The 25960-nt window shown below is 49.2% G+C and overlaps 1 protein-coding gene and 1 long non-coding RNA gene across 2 annotated transcripts in view, besides 4 other annotated features; one reads left to right on the forward strand and one right to left on the reverse strand.

The window, feature by feature from the left end:
* The window catches only part of LTBP2 (latent transforming growth factor beta binding protein 2), a 114055-nt gene that overhangs the window by 39489 nt on the left and 48606 nt on the right, over positions 1-25960 (reverse strand). Inside the window, exons 4-8 of the mRNA NM_000428.3 lie at positions 17832-18022; positions 15221-15391; positions 14516-14722; positions 13393-13679; positions 12192-12294 (exon numbers count right to left, since the gene is read on the reverse strand). Of these exons, the coding sequence (NP_000419.1) occupies positions 12192-12294; positions 13393-13679; positions 14516-14722; positions 15221-15391; positions 17832-18022 (959 nt within the window). The remainder of the gene's footprint in view (positions 1-12191; positions 12295-13392; positions 13680-14515; positions 14723-15220; positions 15392-17831; positions 18023-25960) is intronic.
* Positions 13684-14347: an enhancer, noted in NCBI's record as "H3K27ac-H3K4me1 hESC enhancer chr14:75018058-75018721 (GRCh37/hg19 assembly coordinates)". NCBI's record gives its function as "activates a minimal SCP1, AML or CMV promoter by ChIP-STARR-seq in primed H9 embryonic stem cells {active_cell/tissue: H9 hESC(primed)}" and the evidence as "EXISTENCE:reporter gene assay evidence [ECO:0000049][PMID:30033119]".
* Positions 14348-15012: an enhancer, noted in NCBI's record as "H3K27ac-H3K4me1 hESC enhancer chr14:75018722-75019386 (GRCh37/hg19 assembly coordinates)". NCBI's record gives its function as "activates a minimal SCP1, AML or CMV promoter by ChIP-STARR-seq in primed H9 embryonic stem cells {active_cell/tissue: H9 hESC(primed)}" and the evidence as "EXISTENCE:reporter gene assay evidence [ECO:0000049][PMID:30033119]".
* LOC124903346 (uncharacterized) lies at positions 14644-23982 on the forward strand. The gene is made up of 2 exons (XR_007064265.1): positions 14644-14742; positions 22093-23982. It is a non-coding gene; the product is annotated as an uncharacterized LOC124903346 (long non-coding RNA).
* Positions 17450-17950: an enhancer, noted in NCBI's record as "H3K4me1 hESC enhancer chr14:75021824-75022324 (GRCh37/hg19 assembly coordinates)". NCBI's record gives its function as "activates a minimal SCP1, AML or CMV promoter by ChIP-STARR-seq in naive H9 embryonic stem cells {active_cell/tissue: H9 hESC(naive)}" and the evidence as "EXISTENCE:reporter gene assay evidence [ECO:0000049][PMID:30033119]".
* Positions 17951-18451: an enhancer, noted in NCBI's record as "H3K4me1 hESC enhancer chr14:75022325-75022825 (GRCh37/hg19 assembly coordinates)". NCBI's record gives its function as "activates a minimal SCP1, AML or CMV promoter by ChIP-STARR-seq in naive H9 embryonic stem cells {active_cell/tissue: H9 hESC(naive)}" and the evidence as "EXISTENCE:reporter gene assay evidence [ECO:0000049][PMID:30033119]".

Below are 25960 nucleotides of genomic sequence, written 5' to 3' on the forward strand. Positions count from 1 at the left end.
TCATTTACTGTTGAGAATATATGTCCACTGGTTCATCCTTTAGTGGTTTACAAAAAGAGAGTTCTTCATATTTTCTTCTTCTTCTTCTTCTTCTTTTTTTTGAGATGGAGTCTTGCTCTGTCGCACAGGCTGGAATGCAGTGGCGTGACCTCGGCTCACTGCAACCTCCACTTCCTGGGTTCAAGTAATTCTCCTGCCTCAGCCTCCCGAGTAGCTGGGATTACAGGCATGTGCCACCAGGGCTGGCTAACTTTTGTATCTTTAGTAGAGACAGGGTTTCACCATGTTGGCCAGGCTGGTTTTGAACTCCTGACCTCAGGTGATCCGCCTGCTTTGGCCTCCCAAAGTGCTGGAATTATAGGCATGAGCCACCGCACCCAGCCTTTCATATATTTTTATTGTTGAAATGAATTCTTGCAAATACCAAGAGGCATGTTAGAGATATTTATCCTTTATCCAATTGTACAGCAAAGTTTGAGTGTCTTGGTGGTTTAAAATGTTTTTCTAATCAAGATAGCTATTATTTCACCATTAGCTGCTCTCTCTGGGCACTTACACACTTAGCGCAAGGTTTGTTATTAGTAATGGCCTACATCAATCTGTATTTCATATAGTCTTCTCGATCATTTGGATCCTGGGGTACTTGGGGGTCACATCTGATAGGTCGTCACGATTTTTACTTTGTAATAAGGCTGAGTGACATGGTAAGACCCCCTGAGAAGGGTCGGCATTGCGTTTTTTAATGATTGCTTGTGATTATGGGACTAGTGTCATTTTGCATCCACAGTTTCTTTGCAGGAGCTTTTAAGAGCCACCTCTCCATTTTGTGTGGGTTAGTTTAGTTAACACCAGAATACATAACTAAAAAATCCAGTAAACACAGCACTGTGAACTGCACTGTGTTGCAATATGCCAAAGACAAATAGAAGGAGGCACCACATTTTCTTGGAAGCCCCACTCTTCCCTGAGGACACACTGTGTGCCAAGCATGACATGTGACAGCCTGACATAGGGACAGACCAAGTGAGGACATAAATTAGTAACGCTTAACTTTTTTAAGATTAAAAAATGTAAACTGAAGTTCAAAAATGTTTTCCTGCCAGGACTGGCCCGCTCCGGATTTGCACGTTCCATGTAGGGACCAGGGTCCAGCCTAGAAGGCCACTCTTGTGGAGACACACGGGGATTCTGAAAACGCTGAGAAGGAGATGGAAAGATGAGAGTGAGGCTGGGAGATGTGCACGTCCCTGGCGTGGGGCCTGGTGGTATAAACTGAGGACAGAGAGGAGGGAAGAAAGAGAAGTCCTTTGGAGAAACTCAGAAGGCAGGCTGATTAGATGCAGCCTGTGAACATTATGAGGAGCAGAAGGTGGGAAAGAATGATGCAAGGCTGCTGCCAGAGGGCTGAGGAAAGAGACCAAGTGCACATTTGTCCAGTGCTTCAGAATTGCAAGGCCATGGGTACACATGGTCATGTCTGTTTCTCACAACAATTATGCCCTAAGGCAGGGACCGTCATCCCCATTTTACAGATTAGGAAAGCAAGGCTCAGTGAGGGGTAAGTAACTGACCCAGGTAACAAAGTTGCTGGAGCAGAGGCAGGGTTGAAATCGGGCCTCTAGCTGTGAAGGCCACATCCTTTCTCCTACCTTCCACTGTGCTTCTCTAAGAGAGAGAGAGAGATCAGGAAGAGCTGGGTGAGCCAGCAGGCCGGAAAGGTATCAACTCTCTAGATGTCAAGAGGGAGAAATGATGTTGGGCATGGTAGCTCACACCTGTAATCCCAACACTTTGGGAGGCCGAGGCAGGAGTGTCCCTTGAGTCCAGGAGTTTGAGACCAGCCCAGGCAACATGGCAAAACCCCGTCTCTACAAAAAAAATAAGATTAACTGGGCATGGTGGTTCATGCCTGTGGTCCCAGCTACTCTGGGGGCTGAGGTAGGAGGATCACTTGAGCCTGGGAGGTCAGGGCTGCAGTGAGCTGTGACTGTGCTATTACACTCCAGCCTGGGCAACAGAGGGAGACGGAGACGGAGACTGAGAGGGAGAGGGAGAGGGAGGAAGCAGAGGCCCCTGCTTCTTTAGTGATCAGAAGGGGAGCAGCAGAGAGCTTGGATGAGAGCAGGAAGCAAGAGTGGAACCAGCTGCTGGCACCTGCAGAAAACTGTGAGAACCCGAGGAATGAGTGAATCTCAGAGGAGCTGGGTCCACCCATTAGTCTGGATACATGTATGTGCTTTTTATATAAAATGGTCTCCTCCCTAATAAGGGGAACCTGCCCCTCTGCTGGCCTGAAGGGAGTGTGTTGCGTGGGCAATTCTTCATGAAGGCAGGCTTCTAGAGGGAAATAAATGCCAAGCCACTGTCTCTGGGGAAACTCCCATTTTTACCAACAACCTCCACCCCAAAACCAGGGCCCTCAGCACCCCTCCTCACACCTCTCAGAGACAGTCTATAAGGGGCTAGTTCCTAGCTTCTGTAAGACCAAGTACAGCATTGAATCCAAAAAATCAGGTTAAGGCCGGGCATGGTGGCTCATGCCTGTAATCCCAGCACTTTTGGAGGCTGAGGCGAGTGAATCACCTGAGCTCTGGAACTCGAGACCAGCCTGGGCAACATGGCAAAACCCTGTCTCTACCAAAAATACAAAAAGTCAGCGGGCGTGGTGGCATGAGCCTGTGGTCCTCGCTACTCAGGAGGCTGAGGTGGGAGAATTCTTTGAGCCTAGGAGGTAGAGGTGGCAGTGAGTCGAGATCATGCCTCTGTACTCCATGCTGGGCAACAGAGTGAGACCATGTCTTAAAAATAAATAAATAAGGCGCAGTGGCTCACGCCTGTAATCCTAGCACTTTGGGAGGCCGAGGCGGGCGGATCATGAGGTCAGGAGATCGAGACCATCCTGGCTAACATGATGAAACCCCATCTCTACTAAAAATACAAAAAATTAGCGGGATGTGGTGGCGGGTGCCTGTAGTTCCAGCTACTTGGGAGGCTGAGGCAGGAGAATGGCGTGAACCCAGGAGGCGGAGCTTGCAGTGAGCCGAGATTGAGCCACTGCACTCCAGCCTGGGCAACAGAGCGAGACTCCATCTTAAAAAATATATATATATATTATATATATATTTATATATATATATAATATATATATATTTTTATATAATATATATTTATATATATTATATATATTATATATATTTATATATATAATATATATATTATATATTAAAAATATATATATTTAAAATATATATAGGTTATATATATATATATATATTTTTTATATATGTAGGTTAAATTCAGGTTAAATCTCCTTGGGAGAAAGTGGAAGTTTAGATGGCCATATGGCTCAGGGTGAAAATTCAGCAGCCAGTGAGCTTTGTGACAGGTGAAGGCAGGTGACACCTGTCACCGTCCCTGCCACCCACACCAGGTGTCCCTCTTGCATGCTCCCAATACATACAGCCCTGCCCAAGTCACAGCACTAGCTTTTGAGCTGAAAAACTCAGTTCATGGTGTGTCGTGGCTGCCTGTTTACTTTTCCATCTCTCCACAAAGCATAAGCTACGTGAGGACAAGGACCTTGTCTTATTCTTCTTCATCACTGTTATGTCTCTGGTGCCAAGCATGACACCTAGAGCTGTGTGGGCACTCAGTCAAAATAGGAACAAATAAGAAGACCAAACACTCAAATGGCACTTACTATGGGCCAGGCCCTATTATAAAGGCTTTACACGAATTAACTTAGTTAATGCTCATAAGAGCCCTTGGAGAGTCTTACTAATATTATTCCCATTTTATGGATGAGCAAATTGAGGTTCATCCATAAAATGGATGAGGTTATGAAACAAACCCAAGGTCACCCCGCTGGTGGACAGAGCTGGGATTATGAACTCAGGCAGTCTAGCTCCAGAGGAGAAATTCTGAACCATTCTCCCCACTGCCTCCAAATAAATAAATTTGTGAAAAGCCTTAGGGGTGTCTAGGCAGAAAACCCTAGGGACCAATGGAGGTACCTGCCCAGTAGAAAACCTAGCACCCTTCCTAGGAAACCTCTACCCTGTTTTTAAATGAGGGGTCAGGAGAGGGAATAAGAAAAAAAAAAAAGTAGGGATACTCAGAAGGAGGTCAGAAGAACTGATCAGATGCCTGGTAAGTGCTCCACGATGTGCATAACCAAAGTGCCGGGCAGAACTGACAAAGGAAATGGTGTAGAACTCATCCTACCCCTTGTGGCTCCTCAGCCAGATCAAGGTTATCACAAGGGGTAAGGGGTCAGAGAGTAGAAAGAAGAGAATCTGTGAGACCTGGGGAGAGAGAGTGGCTAAGCTGTGACTCCCACGGATGCTTCAAGGAGGCCTTGCAGGGCTGCAGTGTCCTTGCCTTTCAGACTCTTAGACTTGGGAAAGCCAAAGCAGCTGCCCAGGATCAGTGGGGACCGACCTGAACTCCAAGGAGTTCACATCACAAATGCCCATGAAGCATGCAGGACAGATGTGGGGAACCTTCCTGGTAAGGACATCGGGACATATGGTCTTCTGATTCCCTGGCCTTGGCCCTGTCCACCCTCTGCCGTGCCTCGGTTGCTCACAAACTGAAGAAAGAAGCAGATGGGCCCCTGGCTGCAGCCTGCCCCTGCCCTGCTAACTCTCCCCCTCGGCTGCTGGGACTCCCAAGGAGGCCTCAGTAAAGGCAAACTAATTTCTCGAGACAGTTTTGGCGCTGACTCCATGAGTAGAGCTGTGGAGGAGAAAGTGAAGAGTGTCTGGCCACAGGGCTGTTTACAAGCTGTGCCAATCTCAGCCTGTGATGACAGGTGCCTGCAGCAGGGAGATGTGAAAGGTCCCTACCACACAGCCCCTCTGCCCAGGGACAGACACATACATGCCTGGCGAGGCCAAGCTCAGTGACACAGGGACGCGTGAGCAGGCTGGTGCCTTGCCCCTTTGATTTGCAAACCTCAGAAGGGCAAGCTGGAGAGAAAATTCTACTCCCCCAGTAGGAGTGCAGGTGCTGGGGCAGCCAGACCCACATCTAATCCCAGGCTCCACTCTGACTACCTGTGTGACCTGGGGCACATTTCTTAACCTCTCAGCCTGAATTTTTTTTTTTTTTTTGAGATGGAGTCTAGCTCTGTCACCAGGCTGGAGTGCAGTGGCGCGATCTCAGCTCACTGCAATCTCTGCCTCCTGGGTTCAAGCAATTCTCCTGCCTCAGCCTCCTGAGTAAACAGGATTACAGCCACGCGCTGCCACACCCAGCTAATTTTTGTATTTTTAGTAGAGAGACGGGGTTTCACCATGTTGGCCAGGATGTTCTCAAACTCCTGACCTCGTGATCTGCCCATCTTGGTCTCCCAAAGTGTTGGGATTACAGGCGTGAGCCACCGCTCCTGGCTGAATTTTTTCATCTGTAGAAGTGGGGACTGGGCTGGGCACGGTGGTTCACATCTGTAATCCCAGCACTTTGGGAGGCCAAGGCAGGCAGATCACGAGGTCGGGAGATTGAGACCATCCCAGCTAACACGGTGAAACTCCGTCTCTCCTAAAAATACAAAAAATTAGCTGGGTGTGATGGCGGGCACCTGTAGTCCCAGCTACTTGGGAGGCTGAGGCAGGAGAATGGCATGAACCCAGGAGGCAGAGCTTGCAGTGAGCCGAGATTGCGCCACTGCACTCCAGCCTGGGTGACAGAGCGAGACTCCGTCTCAAAAAAAAAAAAAAAAAAAACAGTGAGGACGAAGACTCAGCTTGTGGAGTCATTGTGAGGATTAGCTTTGCTGAAACAATAAATGTCAGACTGAACCTCGCAGATGCATGGCACAAACCCTATAGAGCCTGCCTGCCTGCCTGCCTGCCTTCCCTCCCTTTTTCCTCCCTCCCTCCCTTCCTTCCTCCCTTCCTTCCCCACAGTCTCAAGGCTGGCATGCTGGCCCACTGTCCCTCACTAGCTGGGTGAATTTGGGCAGGTTACACAACCTCTTTGAGGCTGGGTCTTCTTATCAGTAAACTGGAGATGATAAGTCCCTCTTCATGGGGTTATTATGAACATGAAATAAGCATGTACAACTCTGAGCACAACACTTGTCCCATTTTAGGAATTCTCATAATGTCCATTATTCAGATTTCCCTCCTTGGTGAAGGACCAGTGGGGCCCCCCAGTGATTATGGACATTCTGCCCAAAGATGGCCTCTGACTGCCTCCTCAGAGCAAGATAGAACCAAAGTCACCACAAACAGTGAGGTCGAAAAAGAGTCTGGTCAGACCCCTGGCTCAGGCAGGTGCCACCTAGCCACCCCTGCCCCAGCCCTTCCTCCGCTCTCCGGGCTAGAGGTGCCACATGTCAGTGACACCCACCCCTGCTGGGTTGGGAGGGTGCTCACTTAAGCCTGAGGCACAATTCATTCCCAGCAGGCTTCAAGTCCCTTGGAAGAAGCTCTCAGAACATCTCTGAGCCAAAGAGACACTGCCTTTTCAGCTGACAACTGGAATTCTGAAAATCCCATTTCTTTAGAGTAGGGGACTGGGCATCTCATCCAGAATCCCAGAGAACAGGAGCCCCACCCCAGCACAGCTGTTCCCCAAGCTGGGGTCCTCCAGTTCAGCAAATGCTTGTGCCGGGTGCAAGAAGCAGCAGAGAGAGGCCACTTGCAGAGTGGCTGGAAGCAGGCAACTGGAGTCAGATAGGCCGGGAGTTTCAGGCCCAATTTTCTCTTCTGTAAAATGGGGATAATAGCACCCAACATCTAGAAATATTGTTAGGATGCAAGAAAATGAAAAAGCACTTAGCACCGTGCCTGGCACTTATAAGTACTCTGAATAAATGGTTGTGAATGATGATAAGGGTGATAATAATGGTGTTGCTGCTGTGACCTGCCCTAAGGCTCTCTGCCCCTCATGCCCCCAGCACCCTCCCATACCCATCCTCCCCAGGGGCTGGCATCACAGAGCTACACCTATAACTCTCGTCATGGGCAAGGGTCAGGACCAAAGCAAAGCCTTCTTTCTGTTGGAAGGTTCAAATACATTTTCAAACATCTCTAAAAACCCCCATTTCCTCAAAAATCAATTTTCTTTGTCGACTCCTATGAAAAATCTGTTCTTGGTAGTCATTCTCCCTGTGATCTGGAGCCCACTACTTTTAGGCACAACCCATTTTATTGCTGGGCGCCTGCAGTTTTTAATAAGTTGTCCCTTGTGATCAGTTTCAAGTCGAGCTCTGGTTACCAGAAACACCACACATTGGATATTTCTCTTGAGAACCACGTGGGGGAAAGCCTACACCCTTCTCCCTAGGGCAATTATTTCTCTTAACGCAGGCCGGGGCTACATGTTGCTAACCTGCCCCTCTATCTAACCCAAATCTTCTTGACGGATATAGCACAAGTAACTCACAAAACCCAATCTTGACGCGCATCCTCTTGGCTGCAGAATTCCAGTCTAGCATCCTGATCTTTGTTTCCTTCAGGGAGGCTCAGGTCTCCCCAGAATGATTAGGGAGATCTTGCTCAGCTGAGAGTCAGACATACTGTGGTTGGAATCCTGGCTCTACCTGCCCTAGATGTATGACCTTGGACAAGCTCCTCAGCCTTCTTGGAGCTCCATTTTCCTCATCCATCAAATAGGGTTAAAAATCCTGGGCTTGCAGGTGGCTGTACAAATTCAGTGAGACAAAACATGTGAAGGGCCCAGTGTAATGTGAAAGTTCAGGAACTGGCGGCTATTCTTGGTTTAAGAGAGAAAGGTGCAGAGTTCCTTGAAAGGGCAGAGCAAGAGAATCTGTTCTCCCTGGAGATACAGAGGGCCCTGGGTTCAGAGGTGAACTCAACCCACCCCAGGCAAATGGCAAGACGATCTCATGGCAAACAGCTGGAGCCCACCACTGTAGGCCCTGAGCCATGTGCCAGCCCCGCCTGTCCCAGCAAAGGGGCCTGGGGGTTGACACAGCCAGTGCCAAGCCAGATGGGGCAGTGGCCAACTTTCCAGTCAGCCCAGATGTCTGTCTTTCTCAGATGAAAACTCAAAAATGTGGCCTCAATCAAAGTGGCTTTTGAGAACCGTGTGTTCTCCAGACTCTGGCAGGAGGATTGAAGAGGGCTATGAGCTGGGACCCTTTGATAAATCCCAAGGGGTCAGGAAGACCTGGCTCAGGCTAAGTCCTGGGAGTTCAGCTGGGTACACATTACCTCTACCACTCAGAGTGAAGGGAGCAGAGGGGAACTGTGGGCTGGTCTAGACTGACTCCCGGGCCAGCTCTCCATGCAAGTTCTGTGGCATTCTGGAACAAAAGGGATTTACCTATGCCATGCAATTAAGACTTCAAGGCAGTCCTTTTCCATGTCAGGAATAGTGGCATTCTGTTGCGACCTTCTTCAACAGTCCAGCACAGAGCCTCAAAGCCAGAATGTGACTGAAGGGAAGCCATGAAGCCACTCCCAGGCTGCTCACCCTATCACTCCCACCACTGCCTGATTTGCTAGAACACTTTACTGGGGATGACAAAGGCTTCCCCCAGAAGCATAAGCCTATTTTATCAGAGGAGAAATAGGGGCTCAGAGAGGCAAAGCCACTAGTGCCAGGGATGATCTAGGATCCAGAAGTCCTGTCTGTCTTGCCAACCTTCCCCAAACCTGCCCTGGCAGCTTGTCTTTTCTTCCTCTGCTTCTTGTATAGAAGCTTCCTTGTCATCCCCACTTAAAGAAATGTGCCCACCCCAGCCCCAGGTTCAGGCATGAAGCGAGGTGCCTGGCACTCTGTCAACACAAACAAGGCTCCCCAACGTCTTGCCCCTTCTCTATACAACGCCCAACTGCACTTTCATGTGTTTTTGATGTTTATGTTGCCCTGGTCTTTGTTATTTCTTGCTCAGTGTGCTGGGATGCTTGACATTCCAGGGTCTGTACCCTGGTGCCCAGCGCGCTGAGATGTTCTGAACACAGTAGGGGAGGCCACCATCTGGGATGGGGCAGAGCGAGGGCAAGGGCTGAGCGTTGGGTGTGTTGGGGGAGGGGTACAATTCGTGTTCTGCACGCACCTGATCCACAGAGCTCTGCTCCCGTGCCCACCGCCACTGGGCTCTAGCCCTGTCTGAACCGAGCTCACCAGCTGTATTTGGAGCAGGTTCCTTGGGCATCAGGTGGGCTGAGCTCTCAAGGCTGGCACACAGGTGGAACCAGGAGTGCAGCAAGTGGGCGAGCAGGTAGCTGCTTCAGTACAGACTCTGGCCTTTTTCTCCTGCTCCCCACCCTTCCAGTGGAGGGCTCCCCCACTCTCAGAAGTGCTTCCAAGATCTGGGGATGTGGTCATGGTGCCTGTCAGCCCTGGCTGAGGGCAACAGGCCTAGAATCCTCCATTGGCAGCAGCCAGCCCTGGCATGGACCTCACAGCCTGCATCTCTGCACCCCTGATGGGCTCCAGAGCTTGGGACAGGCAGGCCCTGTGCTCCCACTGTCCCCTCCAATCCTATAAGTGGCAGATGTGACATATAAGTGAAGAATCCAGAGTGGCTCTATTTTCATTTTCACTAATGTCACCTGATAGGTCTGTGGCCACTAACATCACTGTCAGATTGGCTTAGTGAATTACAGAGGAGATACTGACCCAAGGACCCTGTGGGGCCCTGATCGCTGACACCCCACCCAGAGGGCTGCATCTCAAGAGTTCAGGATTATGCTTGGTACCCAAATCAAGGACACCTTAAGGCCTGAAGACTTGCCCAGAGGAAGGTTCCGAGAGGGGCATAGACCTCAGCTGGGAGGAGAATCCCAGCAGTGAAGCGGGATTCTGAGAAGGCCCTTCTGGAAGCCTGTTTCTCAGCTGCACCACTCCACTCCTTTACACTCACGCTGTTGGCAGCTGAGCCCACTCTTCCCCTTCATTATTTCTCAGATTCCAGAGGCAACAGCGTGACAGCTTCTGAGCCCTGAGACAAGGAGGGGAAACTTCTAAGGCTGCCCCTGAATTGCCACTTGGATGAAATCTCATTGTTCCTACCACCTAGAAAAGCCAGCTCCCTCCTAGGACAGCCCTAACTGGGTCAGGAGGTCCCAGGGCAGGTCAGCACCTTGGTCAGCGCAGCAGGTACTGCATGCCCCTCAGAGGGTTGATGGGGTAAAGGGAGAGAGACCCCCACCCACTTGTCTGAATGAGCCAGCTCTTGGGAACCAGAACCTGCCCAGAGCAGGGACTTGGGAGCCCTGGCCCCACCTAACCCTTCTGACATGCCTGCCTTTCTACAGGAGAGCCAGGGCTGAGCAGGGCTCAGCAAGAGACATACTGTGCTCCAGAAAATGTTGCTCATTCTCTTGGTCTTACCTGCACATGCAATTTCCTTGGGTTGTTAAACTCTTCCCCATTACTTAACTGTCCTACCCCTAATTATTCTTCAAATCTCATCCTGGAAGTCACCTCCTCTGAGAAGCTTTCCCTGATCCACAGGGTTTAGCCTGTAGGGCCCCCATCCCACAGTGTACAGATGTGCAAGTTGTGCACTGCACAAAAGCACCATCTCTAAGGGAATCATTGGCATCCTAGATTGGCATATTTATGAAGATGATCTTGAACAAATGGAAGGGCAGGTTTTTCTAATTTGCACAAAGGTGCTACTGGACCTATGAGGGGCCTGGGCTCCACTGCCTGTGTTTGCACAGCACTCAGGACTTGACCAGACACTGCTCAAACCTCTTCATTCCTGATGCCTACCAGCCATCTATGACTACCCACTAAATTGTAAGCTTGGAGAGGAAGGTGCGGTTTTTACCACCTTCTCTACTCTCTGTCCAGGGCCTGCATGCTATGGCCTCTTCAAATGGGGGCTTAGTCAATGTAAATATTTGTCGACTGATTAGAATGTGGGATATAGAAGTTTCAAGGGTTCAACGCCTGATAGGAAAGAGAAAAGAAAACAAGGAAAGAAGAAAAGTGGCAAAAACATCTCTGGCCTACAGGGGAGACCTGGGCAGTTTGATGCACATCTCCTGTGCAGTGGGTCCATTCCTTTCTCGCTTTCTTGAGGGATACTTTCTAATTACAATAATGATAATGATTGTAATAGCCATGGTTTATTGACCTAATACTAAGCATGTGCATCATTTCATTTAATCTCTACAGCAGTCTACGAGGCTGGCACTATTACTATCTCCATTTTACAGATCAAGAGACTGACGCAGAGAGAGGTGATCAGGAAGAGCTGGGACTGGTACGTAGTATGTGTTAGACATTTAAGCCTGGGAGCTGAACACTACCCTTTGCTACTTCGCCAAAAATTCTATCACACTGTAAAACTGTCTACACTTATTTTTAGTTTGGAAAATGTAGTCACTGCTCCACAGCTGAGTCTGATGCAAGGAACAGCCCTGCCCCTCCCATCTTTGGGCTCCTGTCCAGCCTCCTGACAAAGCTGATTGACCAAGCTGACTGCTGACAGGCAAAGGAAATACACACCAGGCTCAGGCCCAGGCCCAGAAAGGAGGCCTGGAGGGAGAAGACAGACAAATGGGCAGAAGCCACACTCACGCACAGGCATCTGGTCACCCTCCTCCCAATTGTGCAACTAAGACTGGGGAGAGCATCGTGAACAGGCATCTTGCTCACTCCTGAAATTGCAGTCCTTGGCACATACAAGGCACCCAGTGAGTATTTGCTGAATGAATGAATGAATGAATGAATTAACACATGTTAGGTTTTTCCCATCGTCCAAAAGAGGGCAAGGAACTAGGGCTCCCATACCCCAAGGATGAGGACATCTAGGACAGACATTCAACCCTAATTCAAAGTCAGGGAGGCTGGAACAGGAGGTAAGGAGATAAAGAGGAGGCCTGGGGGCCCCATCAGGGAGAGAATAAAGAAAACACTGAATCACTGAATCAAGATCTCTGGACCCCTGGCATCTGGGAGGGGTGTGCAGGGGAACACTGAGTGAAATCCCTAAAATCTGATCAAGAATCTCTGCAAGAGAGAGCAGGCCCTTGCAGGCAATCAGATGGAGCAGGCAGGACAGACTGCACCAGCAGAGGGCTGCCAGGAGCCTCAGTGCTGGCCAGAAACACCTTCAAGGCAGGTCTGGGAAGTCTGCAGTTTACCAGCCTGTTCTACCTGCCTGGCCTCTGACATCCTGGAGGGGAAACCCTGGCAGGAGAGGGCAGGCCCAGGGAGAGCTTCCTCCACAACACGTGACCTTGGACTCCAGCACTCACCTGGTCTGGGTGGGCATGGGGCACACAAAGTCACCCCCCAGAAGGCTCCCACACTGCCACAGCAGTCCTCCTGGGTAGTCAGCTCCAGCAGAGGGTTGGCACACTGGAAGGAGAGGCCATGGACACCTGTGACCACCCCCCTTCCCTCCCAGGCTGTGCACAGAGATGTCCCGGGAAAGCCTAGGACACAGAGCTCACTCCCCACATTCTGCCAGAGGATGTCCCCAGCCAAAGAAGGGGAGAAGGGAGTCAGCCCATATCCCAGAAGGAAGCAGAGAAACCTGCCATGCACTCTCCCAGCCCTGAACCTTGTGTGTGGATGGGACACCCCAGACACAAGATCTGCCCTGTGCGGGGCTGCAAACCACCACCCTCCATGGCCCCAACCACAGACAAAGGGTCCTAAAGGAAGAGCTTCCTCTGCCTACCTCCAGGGAACTGCAGGGTCACCCACAGAGTGGGCCTTGTGAGCAGAGCCCCAGGCTCAGGGACACCCCAAGGTGAGAGGCCAGGGATGATCTGGGAATTCAGGGTGTTTACCCCTTGGCTGTCCCACCTCCTCCAGTTCCCTAATCTCAGATAGGGTTTCTGGAAATACCTTAGTTTCTGGAAACTAAGCGGTTTCCTGGCAACCCCAAGAAAAACCATACTGGGTCTGGTCTAACCCCTATTCTTGGGTGCCTGGCCTCAGAAAATCTTCCCTGATTTCCCATTATGAGCTGAGGATGGTTCCAGAGGGCAATAGGAGTATCTCTCATCTTTGTACCACCAGGGCTTTGGGGTTAACCTCCATTTGTTAATTCCACACCTCTGTGACCCCAACTGTAGCCTCAACTGGATAAAAAACTCCTGGCCAGATCCTAACAGCCCCACTGGTCCATGTGCCAGGGGTCATAGGATCAGCATCTCTAGGCTGCCTTCACCTGAGGATGCTGGTGACAGCTCCTCCAGAGGGGAACTTCCTTGGGTCTTCTTCTGTGTGCCTGGTATTGACAAGCACCAAGTAGAGCCCAGGAAGGAGGCCCAGACTCTCCATACATGGACAATTTCATGCCTTGGGTTTTCCCATCTGGGAAATGGGAGAGTCTGCAGACACTCACATTCCATAAGAACAAAGAGGACAGAGAGGAGGAGAAGGGCAGACTGGGGACAACTGCCATCCTGGAAGCATCCAGGGCTGAGGCCAGAGCTGTGTTCTCACCTGTCCGTTCACAGTGTTCAGGTAACACCGGCCCAGCAGTCCTCGAGGCCTGGGTGCTGCTGGGGGCAGTGGCCGAGGGGGCTCTCCAGACCGAGCAGGGATGTTGTTGCTGTCCCAGAGGCTGTGGCCAGGGCTGGCAGGCAGCCAGGGCGGGGGTCTGGTCTCCACGCTGTTCTCCACTAGGGCCTCCTCCACCCCGCCCCGCACCTGGGCCACCTGGTGGATCTGCACTGAGGCCTCGGGTGGGTGGTGAATGTGCACCTTCACCAGGGAGGGGTTCACGGAGGCTGGGCACAGGGGCTAGAGTCAGAGCCAGGGAAGCAGGGCCCCACCCTCATTTCCAACCCTCTGAAGGGTATCCACCACCCCTGGGCCAGGCAGGCCACTGGCTATGTGTCACCCCAAAACTCTCCTTCCATTTCTTTGCTCCCAAGTTAGAACCCCAGAATGATCCCTTGTGGGGACGGGATGAAGTGCAAACTCTGTCACTGAAGGAGCCTCATTATCACATTCCAAGCTACCTTCCTGATTCTACCTCCCCCATGACCCTGGCCAACCCTGGAACTCCAGCCCCCTGTCTCCTGCATGGCCCCACCTCCGTGCCTTTGCTCGTGCCAGTCCCTCTGCTTAACCAGATGCTACCCATTGTTTCAGGCCTAACTGCAGTCCATCCCCTCCACGCAGCTGTCCCAGAGCACTCTGGGCTTAGGAGCCTCTCCATCCCCTGATCCCCTAAAGCATTCTGTATTTTTTTGGCACCTAATAATGGAAGGCAGGGAAAATGAAATGTTTTATGCTGATATTCTATTTCCCATCCATTCTCCCTCTATTACCCAGGCCCATGGATTCCTTGAGGGCGGCACCCTGCCCTTACACTGTTTTGTCTTCCCCAGGGTTCCCAGCACAGGGAAAGGGCAAAAACAAGTCGATAAATTCCGATGGGAGGGGGCTGAGAAGTTGAGGGAATGAAACTTAGCGCTGAGGGCCAGGAGAAAGAGGGAGGTTTGATCATAAAGGAAGGACTACAGGCAGCTTCCCTATCCCTGTCACAGCCATGGTGACAGCCTCCACCCAACTGGCACTCCTCCCAGGGTCCCGCCGGCCCAGCTGTGCCGGCACTCACCCAGCTGGTTGGAGAGCGGCAGTGTGAAAGTGGACTGCTTCAGTGGGGCTTCCAGCAAGGCCCTGGGGCGGGACCCCCTCCCTGGAGGCTCCCTGTCCGGCTGCGGGATAGGCAGGTGGCAGAACTTCCCGGTGGAGTTGGCGGGGCACCAGCATTCGTCCCTGCCGATGCAGCGGCCTCCGTTCAGGCAGGGGATCTGGCAGAAATCTGCAACATCAACCCTCAAGGTAACCAGCGGTGGAAGAACAGCAGCACCCGCTCTGTGGCTGGTGACCACCACAGAGAAACAGGCGGCAGAACCCTGACCCTAGATGGCTCCTGTAGCCCGGAGCCCCCTGAAATGTAGGGACTTTCCACTTCATTCATGTAGAGTGAAGAAGAGTGGATAATAACCAGCCCCTGCCTTCCTGAAAAGTCTATTTAGGCGTTTCCCTGCACCCCACAATAACCTGGGAGATGGGGAGGTGGCATTATCATGAACTCTGTCTCTTCTCTGTTGAGGAAACTTGGACTCAGAGAGGTTATGTGACTCCTAGAGTCACACAGCTAGGCTGCCAAGTGAGGACTCAGCTCCCCATGTGATTTGGGACAACTTGTGGAGCCACAGTTTGGGAGCAGCGGGCTCCAGTCCAAGGCAGGCCTGGCTCTCTGGCCATCTACCCTCCAGGGCCAGCTGGGAACCATCTGAGCAGGAAAGGGACTCACAGATGCGGAAGCCAGACTTGGGATCGTGCCCATGGCCGCCCTGGCTGTACAGGGTGGTGGTGTCGCCCCTCTCACAGCTGTTGGCACAGTGTCCACGGGCACAGGTCTGCTTGCAGATGGTGGGAGTGAAGACGATCTTGATCTTCTTGATTTTCTCCGTGAGGTTCAGCCCTGCAGAGAGAGGGCTTGGGTCCAGGGGGCAGGGCTGAGAGGCACAGCTGTGACCTCCAGAGTCTGGTTAGAAAGCCCCATGGGACTAGGGCTGCATTCATCTCAAGGGCATTTGCTGAGTACCTACTGGACGCAGGGTCCCATCGTAGGGGCAAGGTGATACCTTTGAGAAGCTCGCAGATGTGCCAGCCACCAAGCTCACACTTCATGCACATCAACCCTCTTGAGTGGGTGGTATGTTAGGTTGAATCATTAGAAATTGCCATTTTTGTAGGTTCCTATGGCTGAGTGTTGGTATTTTTCATATATCCAACCTACTGTGTCCATTTTACAGCTAAGAAAAATGAGGCCCAGAGAAGTTTGGGTGCTCAAGTGACGCAGCTAGCAAGTGATGCAGCTGGGCTTTGAACCCAAGGGCAGGGAACAGAATGCAGCCCCAGCTTGCCAGAGAGGAGAGTTTTCTAAGAGAAGAGAAGATAAAGCCTGAAAGGATTAGAGTCAGGTTTTGTGGGGGACCTGATTACCAGAACAAGGATCAGGCACTTTATTTGGTGGGTGATGGGGAAGCTGCAGAAGACTTTTAAGCAAGACATCATGCTGGCTTTGATGTGCTGGGGGGTCCGGAGGCAGGGTGACCACCTGGGAGGTCATGGCAGCAGTGCAAGCTGAGGCCGCTTCATTTCCCAAGAGTGGTGGCAATGAAATTGGGCTATTAATTCAGTACGGGGAGCCTGGGGACAGAAGCCAGAGGCAGAAGGTTGAGGGAGAAATGGGAGGGGAGGAAATTGAAAAAATATGTTTTGACCATGAGTTTGAGAAGCTTGACTGTGAAGGGAGGAGATAGGAAGAAAGCGGAGAAACGTGTGTGTGTGTGTGTGTGTGTGTGTGTGTGTGTGTGTGTGTGAATGAGAGAGCTGTAAGCAATTGTACACGTTGAGGGGAAAGGGCTGAGAGGGTGGGAGAGGGTGAAGATACAGAAGAGGGGGGACAAGTGATGCCAGCGTTCCAGAGGAAATGACAAAGGGTGCCAGAACGTGCCTTAGATAAGAGGGACACCTCCCCCTCAAGATGGCGTGAAAGGAATCGTCAACCATGAAAAGGAATGAAGCACTGATACACACAGCAACATGGATAAACCTCAGAAACGTTATGCTAAGCCAGGCACAGGAACTCACGCCTGCAGTCCCAGTACTTTGGGAGGCTGAGGCAGGAGGATCACTTGAGGCCAGGAGTTTGAGACCAGCCTGGGCAACATGCAAGACCCTATCTCTACAAAACATTTAAAAATTAGCTGGGCATGGTGGTGCATGCCTGTAGTCCCAGCTACTCTGGAGTCTGAGGTGAGAGGATCACTTGAGCTCAGGAGTTTGAGATTATAGTGAGTTGTTATCATGCCACCACACTCCAGCCTGGGCAACAGAGCAAGACTCTGTCTCTTAAAAAAGAAAAAGAGAAGAAAAGAAAATGTAACGCTAAGTGAAAGAAGCCAGACACAAAAGATGGTACATTGTACGACTCCATTCATGTAAAATGTCAAGGATATGCAAATCTATAGAGACGGGAAATAGGTGAGTGGTTGCCAGGGATAGGAGGGGAGATAAGGAGTGACTGCTGCTTAGTGGGTACAAGGATTCTATTTGGAGTGATAAAAATGTTGTGGAATGAAATAGTGGTGACGGTTGCACACAATTATAAATACACTAAAAGCCACTGCAGTGTAGCCTTTAAAATGGTTAATTTTATGTTATGTGAATTCCACTTCAATTTTTAAAATGGAAAAAAAAGGAAGGAGGTGAGCTCAGGCACAGATGTAAACAGGGTAGTGGTGGGTGTGATAGGCAGGAAGTTGAGGAGCTCTCTGGGAGGTGGGGGCATGTCTGTGGGCTGATGGATGGGGCCTCGGGAAAGGAGGGGAGGGGAGGGGAGGCCTGGAGTAGCTGCTCTGAGAAATGGAGGGAGAAAATGTCCAGGCACACAGGGAGGGGTTGTCAGGCAATAACAAAGAGTGTGCCATGGCGTGAATCCACAGAGATTCTGTGGGAAGCAGAGGCGCAGCTGTAGGTGCTGAGGTAACAACTGGTTGGGTTGATCCAGGAGAGTTGGGGTTTGTAGGAGGGATGAGGTGGAACGAGTGGGACCAGGGAGTTGAGGTTCACAGCGGGATATGAGGGAAGCAAAGGCAGGAGGGGATGATAGATTGGGCAGAAATAGAGCAGTCTAGGTCTAAAGGTTGCAACGGGGTGAAGTCCAGGTCCACCGGTTTAGGACCCCTGGACCCCGGCACAAAGCAGGTGCTCAACAAGCGTTTGTTGATTGGCTGAAAGAATGAGGGACAAGGTGACAACTCAGCCCCTCTGTGAGAGCAGAGGGGGAAGCCAAGGTGGGAGAAGAGAGTTCTAGAGGCCCTGCTCTTCTAGGACCCAAGACAGGGTATCCTTACCCCAGGGGGATGAGGGGTGCTCCAGAGGTACCGCCTGTTGGGTGCCATCTCTCTGCTCAAGGCCTGGTCCCGGGGGCAGGGCGTTGGAAGAGAGCTGGCTACTGGCCGTGGCAGTCGGGTGAAGTCGGACAGTGCGGGACAACCCCACGTGCTGCTGGGAAGGGTGGGTCTGGCTGAGGCCACTCAGGGTCCTGTGGAGACAACCGCGGCACGGGGGTTTGCACCCTGGGAACAGTGTGTCTGTGCCACTCCTCATCCAGCCACCCACTCTCTGCCTTTGCACAAGAAAAATGCTCTCTGGCTGCCTTCTCACCCATGTATGGCTGACTCCCAGACATGAAGGTGCCCTGAGGCAGAAGGACTGATCTAAGGCCTGCCGGCTAGTTTTGTAGAAATACCAACCCCTATGTGGAATCACCAGGCTTTTGGTGGGTTATTCCGGGCAAATCACTTAGCTCCTCTGGGCCCCAGGACCCTTAACTGCAAAATGGGGGTGTTAGACGGTCCTCACGTAGCTCTGACATTCCAGAAGTCTTTGAGAACCCACTATGGACCAGCCCCTGCCCTAAAACCAAGTCCTGTACCTACTCCCTACCACTTCTTAATATATCCCTTAATATGAATTACCTGTAGAAGAGGTGCCCAACAAACACACCTTCAAGATTGATTCAGGGCAGAGCCTAGAGTCTCCCTCTCATTGATTTTTATTGTAAGAATAATGTAACAACAATATTCAAGGAGAAAAACATGAATTCATCATCTCCCATCCTAACACAGCAACTACTTTTGCATATTTTCTTTCAACCTTTGCTCACGTATATGATTTTACACTATTGTCATCACCTAGAGATACAATTTTAAATTCCGTTTTTCACTTAACATTAGATCACACTTTACACAATTCAATTTGTCATATTTGTCATGTTCATCGCTATATGATAGTCCAGCTAAAGATGAATCACAACTTATTTAGACATTTACCTGTTACATATTTAGATTTTTTAAAAAGTTTTTTGCTTGTTTTTGTTTTTGAGACCGAGTTTTGCTCTCGTTGCCCAAGCTGGAGTGCAATGGCGCGATCTCAGCTCACTGCGGCCTCTGCCTCCTGGGTTCAAGCAATTCTCCTGCCTCAGCCTCCCCAGTAGCTAGGATTACAGGAGCCCGCCACCACTCCTGGTTAATTTTTTGTATTTTTAGTAGAGACAAGATTTTGCCATGTTGGCCAGGCTCGTCTTGAACTCCTGGCCTCAGGTGATCCGCCCACCTTGGCCTCCCAAAGTGTTGGGATTACAGGCGTGAGCCACTGCACCTGGACTGTTTTTAAGTTTTAAATGTGTACATCCTTACCTATATGACTTTGTCTTCTGTTAAAATATTCCTTTAGTACAGGGAGATTTGTTGTACTATTCTATTTTATTTTGTATATTTGAAAAAATGTTATAGGAAACATCTTGAAAGGATTAAAACTTTAGGATGAGGCTGGGCGTGGTGGCTCACGCCTGTAATCCCAGCACTTTGGGAGGTCCATGCGGGCAGATCACTTGAGGCCAGGAGTTCGAGATCACCCTGGTCAACATGGTGAAACCCCATCTCTACTAAAAATACAAAAATTAGCTGGGTGTGGTGGTGCATGCCTGTGGTCCCAGGTACTTGAGAGGCTGAGGCTGAGAATCACTTGAACCTAGGAAGTGGAGGATGCAGTGAGCTGAGATCATGCCACTGCACTCCAGCCTGGGCAACAGAGGGAGACTCCATCTCAAAAAAGCAAAACAAAACAAAAACTTTAGGATGAATTCCTGGGGCTAGAATGACTGTATCAAAGGTTACAAACATTTATGTCTGGAGGCACACACTGGTGTATTGCTTTCTGAAAGGGTTGCATCCAAATATATAAATGAACCACTTAGAGCACAATCTTGCCAGCACAGCATATTATTAATTTTTAATACTTTGCTAGCTTTGAATAAGCACAAAGTGGTACTTCAATGTTCTTTTCACCTCCCTTCTCTCCTTTAAAAAATTATTTTTGAGGTTAAAATATTTCAGGTATTTATTTACCACTTGTGAAAATCCTCCGCTCATGTCCTTTGACATCTTAACTGCTTGAATTGTCTCATACATTTGGACACATTCTCTTGATGTTTATTATTGGGCAGGCTGTTCTAAAAGGCAGCCTCTGTTGTAAATACTCTGTCATTGTCACAATGTCTATGAACCACTGTGTATACGACAGTGTCTGGACTGTGGTGGGTGTAAGCGTATTGCAGACATCAAAGCTGAGAGAGGCTCAGTCCTTGCCCAAGGTTATACAAGAGCTAAATGGGGACACCAGGATGCCAACCCAGGGCCTGATCCACAACCTGTGTCCTGCGCCAGCCGACAACCAGCCCAGACCCCAGTGGGAGCTCAGCCTGGAAGCCTCTGCTCAGGCCTCGGGGGCATCCCTTCCCCCAGTAGGTCCCATGCCAACCCTCCCCACTGGTTTCCTTGCCCAAGTGGGATAAGGCCCTGGGATTCTCTCCCTCCCCAAATCTCCACCCCAGTTCTGTTAGCCCTTGGTGACCAGGCCATGAGCAAACTCCTTATGCTTTCCTGGCAGAAGGCAAACTAGGACTGGCCTGGCACAGTTGTTCATGCCTATAATCCCAGCACTTTGGGAGGCTGAGACAGGAGGATCACCTAAGGTCAGGAGTTCGAGACCAGCCTGACCAACAGAGAGACACCCCATCAAAAAACACAAAAATTAGCCGGGCTTGGTGGCACATGCCTGTAGTCCCAGCTACTGGGGAGGCTGAGGCACGAGAATCGCTTGAACCCAGGAGGTGGAGGTTGCAGTGAGCCAAGATCACCCCACTGCACTCCAGCCTGGGCAACAGAGTGAGACTCAATCTCAAAAAAACAAAACAAAAAAGAAAGCAAACTCCCTCCGAGGACTTCCAAGAAAGCGCCTGGGAGAGAGAGGTGGCTGAACTGCTGGCTCACTGGGAGCCTCGTCCTGGGTACCAGGCTGGTGCCATGCTCAGGTTAGTGGCAGCGCCACAGAGCATCCCAGAGAGGTGAAAAGAGTAGCTCATGTTCTGCCCAGACCACTGCCACTTTTCTGAACTTGACCCTGACAAAGAGCTCTCCAGTCTGGTCAGGATGGAAACTCAAAGTGTTCTTTCTTGGTGGTTTGTTGTCATTGTTATGTTATTGCTGCTGTCAGTTTTTTCTCTAATTGGTGCTCAGAGCTCATGGCACCAAGATCCCAGGGTTCAAATCCCTTAAGGGCCAGTTGGGTAGTTTTGCAGAGAGGAAAACCAAATAAACAAACCATGTATTCCCTAGTCATAGACAGGACCTGGCTGTACAGAGGGGAGGGGTTGGGACTGGGCCAGACAGATGTTGGTTCTGCCTCTTACTAGCAGCACAGCCTTGAGCAAGTCACTTAGCTCCCCTGAGCCTCAGAATCCTCATCACTGAAACAAGAATAGCAATGCCCACCTCATAGGGCTGGTGTGAGGATGACGAGAACAGTGAGACCATGCAATTATTTCACAAATACAAGTAAATGGTCAAAGTAGAAAAATACGCCAGAATTTTTAAATTGCAGAAACAAGGAGGAAAAAAGGAGTTAGCTACAGTTTGGACTAAATACATCTCCCCAAGCAAATAAGAAAACATGACTGGGCCACTTAAAGTTCTTCTTTAAGGGAAATAAAAAGACTCCAGAAAAAAGTGTTATTGCTGTCCAAGTGTCCTTATATATACACAGGGCCAAGTGTCTAATCTGGTGTCAACACATTTTTAACAACCGGAGTCCTCTGAGCCTAATTCATTGTCACCTACTACTCTAATGGGGATTTGGGGTTAAATGACAGAAATAAAAAAGCCCTGCATTCTGAGAGGCTCGTCGTGGAGTAAAGGAAGAAGCTCCCAGGTTTTTTTATAGGTCCTGCCTCTTATTCCTAAAGCATCCATATAAGGAGGTTGATAACTCCCTTTATAAGTCCCAGCCTAGGCCTCAGAGGTGAGCAGCGAGAGAGGCTCTCGCTGTGTGGAGGGCTGCAGGTTCTTGGCTCAACTCTGGATCCCTGGTGGTCTCCAATTGGTTACCACTGCCATCACCCCATAGAAGGGCACAGGCAGCTAGGATGGAGTGGAGACTGTGAGCTGTGGAGTTTGCAAACCCCACTGTCTAGCCTTGTGTTATCTTTGCACTCATTTCCTTTAAGCAAATCGCAAGCCTTTAGCCAAATCCTGTTTGCATGTTCTTTCCTAGTCTCAGGTTGTGGGACATCAAGAGAAGGGTCTGGTGCCATGTTTGCCCCAGGCTGGTCCAAAGAAGCAGTATCCCCCCGATTAAGGACAGTAGAGGTCTGGTAACAGAAGAAGGCAAGTCTCAATGAGAAGGTGACCACAGCCCCCAGGAGATGCTCCATCTACTATCAGCCTTGGAAGAACCGCTGCAATTTCATCAAAGGACAGAGGTTCCCAAACTCACCCAGCACAAGAATGGAACTTGCTATCTTTCTGGGACTGTTCCAGGGAAGTCCTGGCCAAGCCTCCACAATGGACCAAAAAGTCATCTCTAGACTTCAGGATTTCATGAATCCGTAAGATTTTGGAACAAAATTGGGGGAACAACATAAAGTCGCTTTTTATTTAGGTTGCTAAGACTTTAAGACAAACACACACAAAACTGCCAATCACTACCACCATAATTTCACGAAAGAAAAGACATTTCAGAGCCAAAAAAGAAACGTTTGAATAAGCCTAACTTCATGGAAATCTCACCAAATGACTTTATTTTCTTCATTTCTTTATGGATCATGAAATCCCCATCACAGGCCAGCACAGAGCCAAGAGACAGCCACCAGATCCACCACAGTCTGTTCTCAACTGTGGACTCTGGGCTTTTCAACCAAGATGAGGAAAAATTCTCATCCCAGTGGCCGGGGTCTTCAGGCCCACAAGAAAGCTGCCTGGGCAGTCTGTACCCATAATGATGCCACTTACTGAAATGTGCAAGGTGTGCCCACACCCTGCCCGACACACTAAGGTTTCCCAACAGCGATGGGAAGACAAGTGGGCGAGGAGCTCTGTGCCCTCTACCCCATTCACCCTCACCCTAGCCTGGCTGCTCTCCTCTATTTACTTCATAAATCGGGCTTCCAAAAACAGCTGGCCCATCATATCCATGGGTTCTGCCTCTGCAGATTCAACCAACTGTGAATGGAAAATATTTGGGGGGAAAACCCCCAAAAATAGCAATCAACAATGAAAAATAATACAAATAAAAATTATATAGTATGACAACTATTAGCATTTGCACTGTATTAGGTATTATAAGTAATCTAGAGAAGATTTAAAGTATATGGGAGCATGTGCGTAGCTTATATGCAAACATTATGTCATTTTATATCAGAGACTTGAACATCCATGAATTTTGGTATTCACAGGGGTCCTGGAACAAATTCCCTGTGGATATCGAGGGATGACTGTACTATTTTGTTTGGAAAGGCTCTTGCTGCTAAAAAAAATTTAAGAGTGTTACTAAAGATGCATAGAATATGCCTGTAATCCTAGCACTTTGGGAGGCTGAGGCAGGCAGATCACTTGAGGTCAGGAGTTCGAGACCAGCCTGGCCAACATGGTGAAACCTGTCTCTACTAAAAATACAAAAATTAGCCGGGCGTGGTGGTGGGCACCTGTAGTCTCAGCTACTCAGGAGGCTGAGGCAGGAGAATCACTTGAACCCGGGAGGCAGAGGTTGCAGTGAGCCGAGATCACGCCATTGCATTCCAGCCTGGGTGACAGAGCAAGTCTCCCTCTCAAAGAAAAAAAAAGATGCATAGAATAGTTGTAATTATCATTATGAACATGAAGCCAGATATTTTATATACATCATCTTATCTATGTTATTTTAGTGAATGAAAAAACTGAGTTGCAGAATATATGGATAGTATGCTTCTAGTTTTGTGTTTTAAGAAAAGCTTTTCTCTCTCTCTTCCCCTACAGATGTTTATATAAGCATAGGAAAAGGCCGGAAGATCTGTAAATAGTGGCCACTCTTTAAGAATGAGAGTGTCTGTGTGTGTGTACCTCCTATTTTAAACTTTATCATTTCAATATTTTTGAAATTTTTACAATAAATATGCATCACATGGAATAAACATGTATTTGTTTTGTAATCAAAATAAATCTCTATTCTTCCCAGCAACTCCATTTTATAGCTAAGGAAACTGAGGCTCAGAAAAAGCATGGTGAATGTGTACACATAACTAGGACCCACGATGGACTGTGTTGGAGAGCAGAGGTACAGGAGTTCAGATAGAATACAGACCATATCTAGGAGAAGGATCCAGGGAGCTTCAGGGATAGATAGGATTTTAACAGACCCAAAATGAGGAGGCAGACATTCCAGATTAGAAAAACAACATAAGGGCCAGGCACGGTGGCTCAAGCCTGTAATCTCAGCACTTTGGGAGGCCGAGGCGGATGGATCACCTGAGGTCAGGAGTTTGAGACCAGCCTGGCCAACATGCTGAAACGCTGTCTCTACTAAAAATACAAAAATTAGCTGGGCGTGTTGGTGGGCACCTGTAATCCCAGCTACTTTGGAGGCTGAGGCAGGAGAATTACTTGAACCTGGGAGGTGGAGGTTGCAGTGAACCGAGATTGCACCACTGCACTCCAGCCTGGGTGACAAGAGTGAGACTCCGTCTCAGAAAAAAAAAAAGAAAAGAAAAGAAAAGAAAAATAACATAAGAAGTGCATGGAGGTGGGAAGCACAGGCCATGTTTGAAGAAGAATAAGCACCATTTGGGTAAAGCACAGATTAGAGGGGAGAGGGGGGAAGGGAAATCATTCCAATTCAATGCCTATCAGGTGGCAGGTATCATGCTAAGTGTTTTAGCTAATATATCATTTACTTGTCCAAACAATTCTATGATCAAAAACCCCTGCTTGGCCAAACCCACCTTAAAGTAAAAAGACAAATGACATGGTGGGAAAAATATGTGCAACTCGTATCAGAGAGAAAAGATGAGTCTCCATAATATCAGAGTTCCTAGAAACAGAAATGTCAGAGACCAACAGCCTTAAAAGAAAAATCAGCAAGGAATATGAACAGGTCACAGAAAAAAAAATACAAATATTTCTTGAACCCAGAAAAATATGCTTAACCTTTCTCCTTGTAAGGGATGTGCAAATGAAAACTATGCTGAGGTAGCATTTTTTAATCCATCAGATTAGAAAAAAACCCAAAGGTTTAATAACATACTCATTTGTGAGACTATGCAGAAACAGACGCTCTCGGATGCTGCTGGCAGGAATGTAAATTGACATGACCCTTCTGGAAAGCAATTTGGCAACGTCTATCCACATCCCAATGCATCTGTGCTTTGACCCTGCTGCTCCACCTCCAAGACTATCCTGCAGATAAACCTTCTGTGGTAGGTGTTGCTGCCCTGCCCTGGTCCCCTTTCTGGCTTGTGTATCTGCAAGTGTAGCAGCTAAAGGCTTATACCTGTGATTTCTTCCAAGCCATGCTCTTGGCTGATGGGAACCACCTGAGAAGCTCCTCCCACCACCATGACCACACAGCCAATGACTGCCTGAAAGGGAAGTTCAAAAGCCTGGGCCCCCAGGCCTTAAGGAGAAACAACTTTGTAAGCTCTATCCTCAATCAGGTCAAAGCTTGATTTACCTGGGACCACATCTTTACTTGGCTCTCTCCCCTTTCCCACACTGCTTTCTTCTTTCCTTTCGCATTTCCCCCGCAAAATCACACACACTGGAATCCCACCTCTAGGGGACCCGACCTAAGACACTCGTAAATGTCCAAAATGATACATGAACAAGACTATTTACAGAAGCACTATTTTGTAATAGCAAAATAGTTTGTACAGAATGAAAACAACTTAAGTGTCCTTCAGTAGGGGATTGGTTAAACAAACAAGGATCTGCTGGCAGAATGGGGTAATAGGCCCTGGAAACACAGCGGCAGCTCCTTTACATCAATAAGTTAAGCTTTCCAAGATACACTGAAAAGTGAAAGCACAACAGCCCAATCCCACCACTGACTGTTTTTGTACAGACTATGACCTAACAATGGTTTTCACATGTTTAAATGGCGGAAAAGAAAT

This window comes from Homo sapiens, chromosome 14, assembly GCF_000001405.40.
Source record: "Homo sapiens chromosome 14, GRCh38.p14 Primary Assembly".
In the NCBI taxonomy this organism is placed as follows: domain Eukaryota; kingdom Metazoa; phylum Chordata; class Mammalia; order Primates; family Hominidae; genus Homo; species Homo sapiens.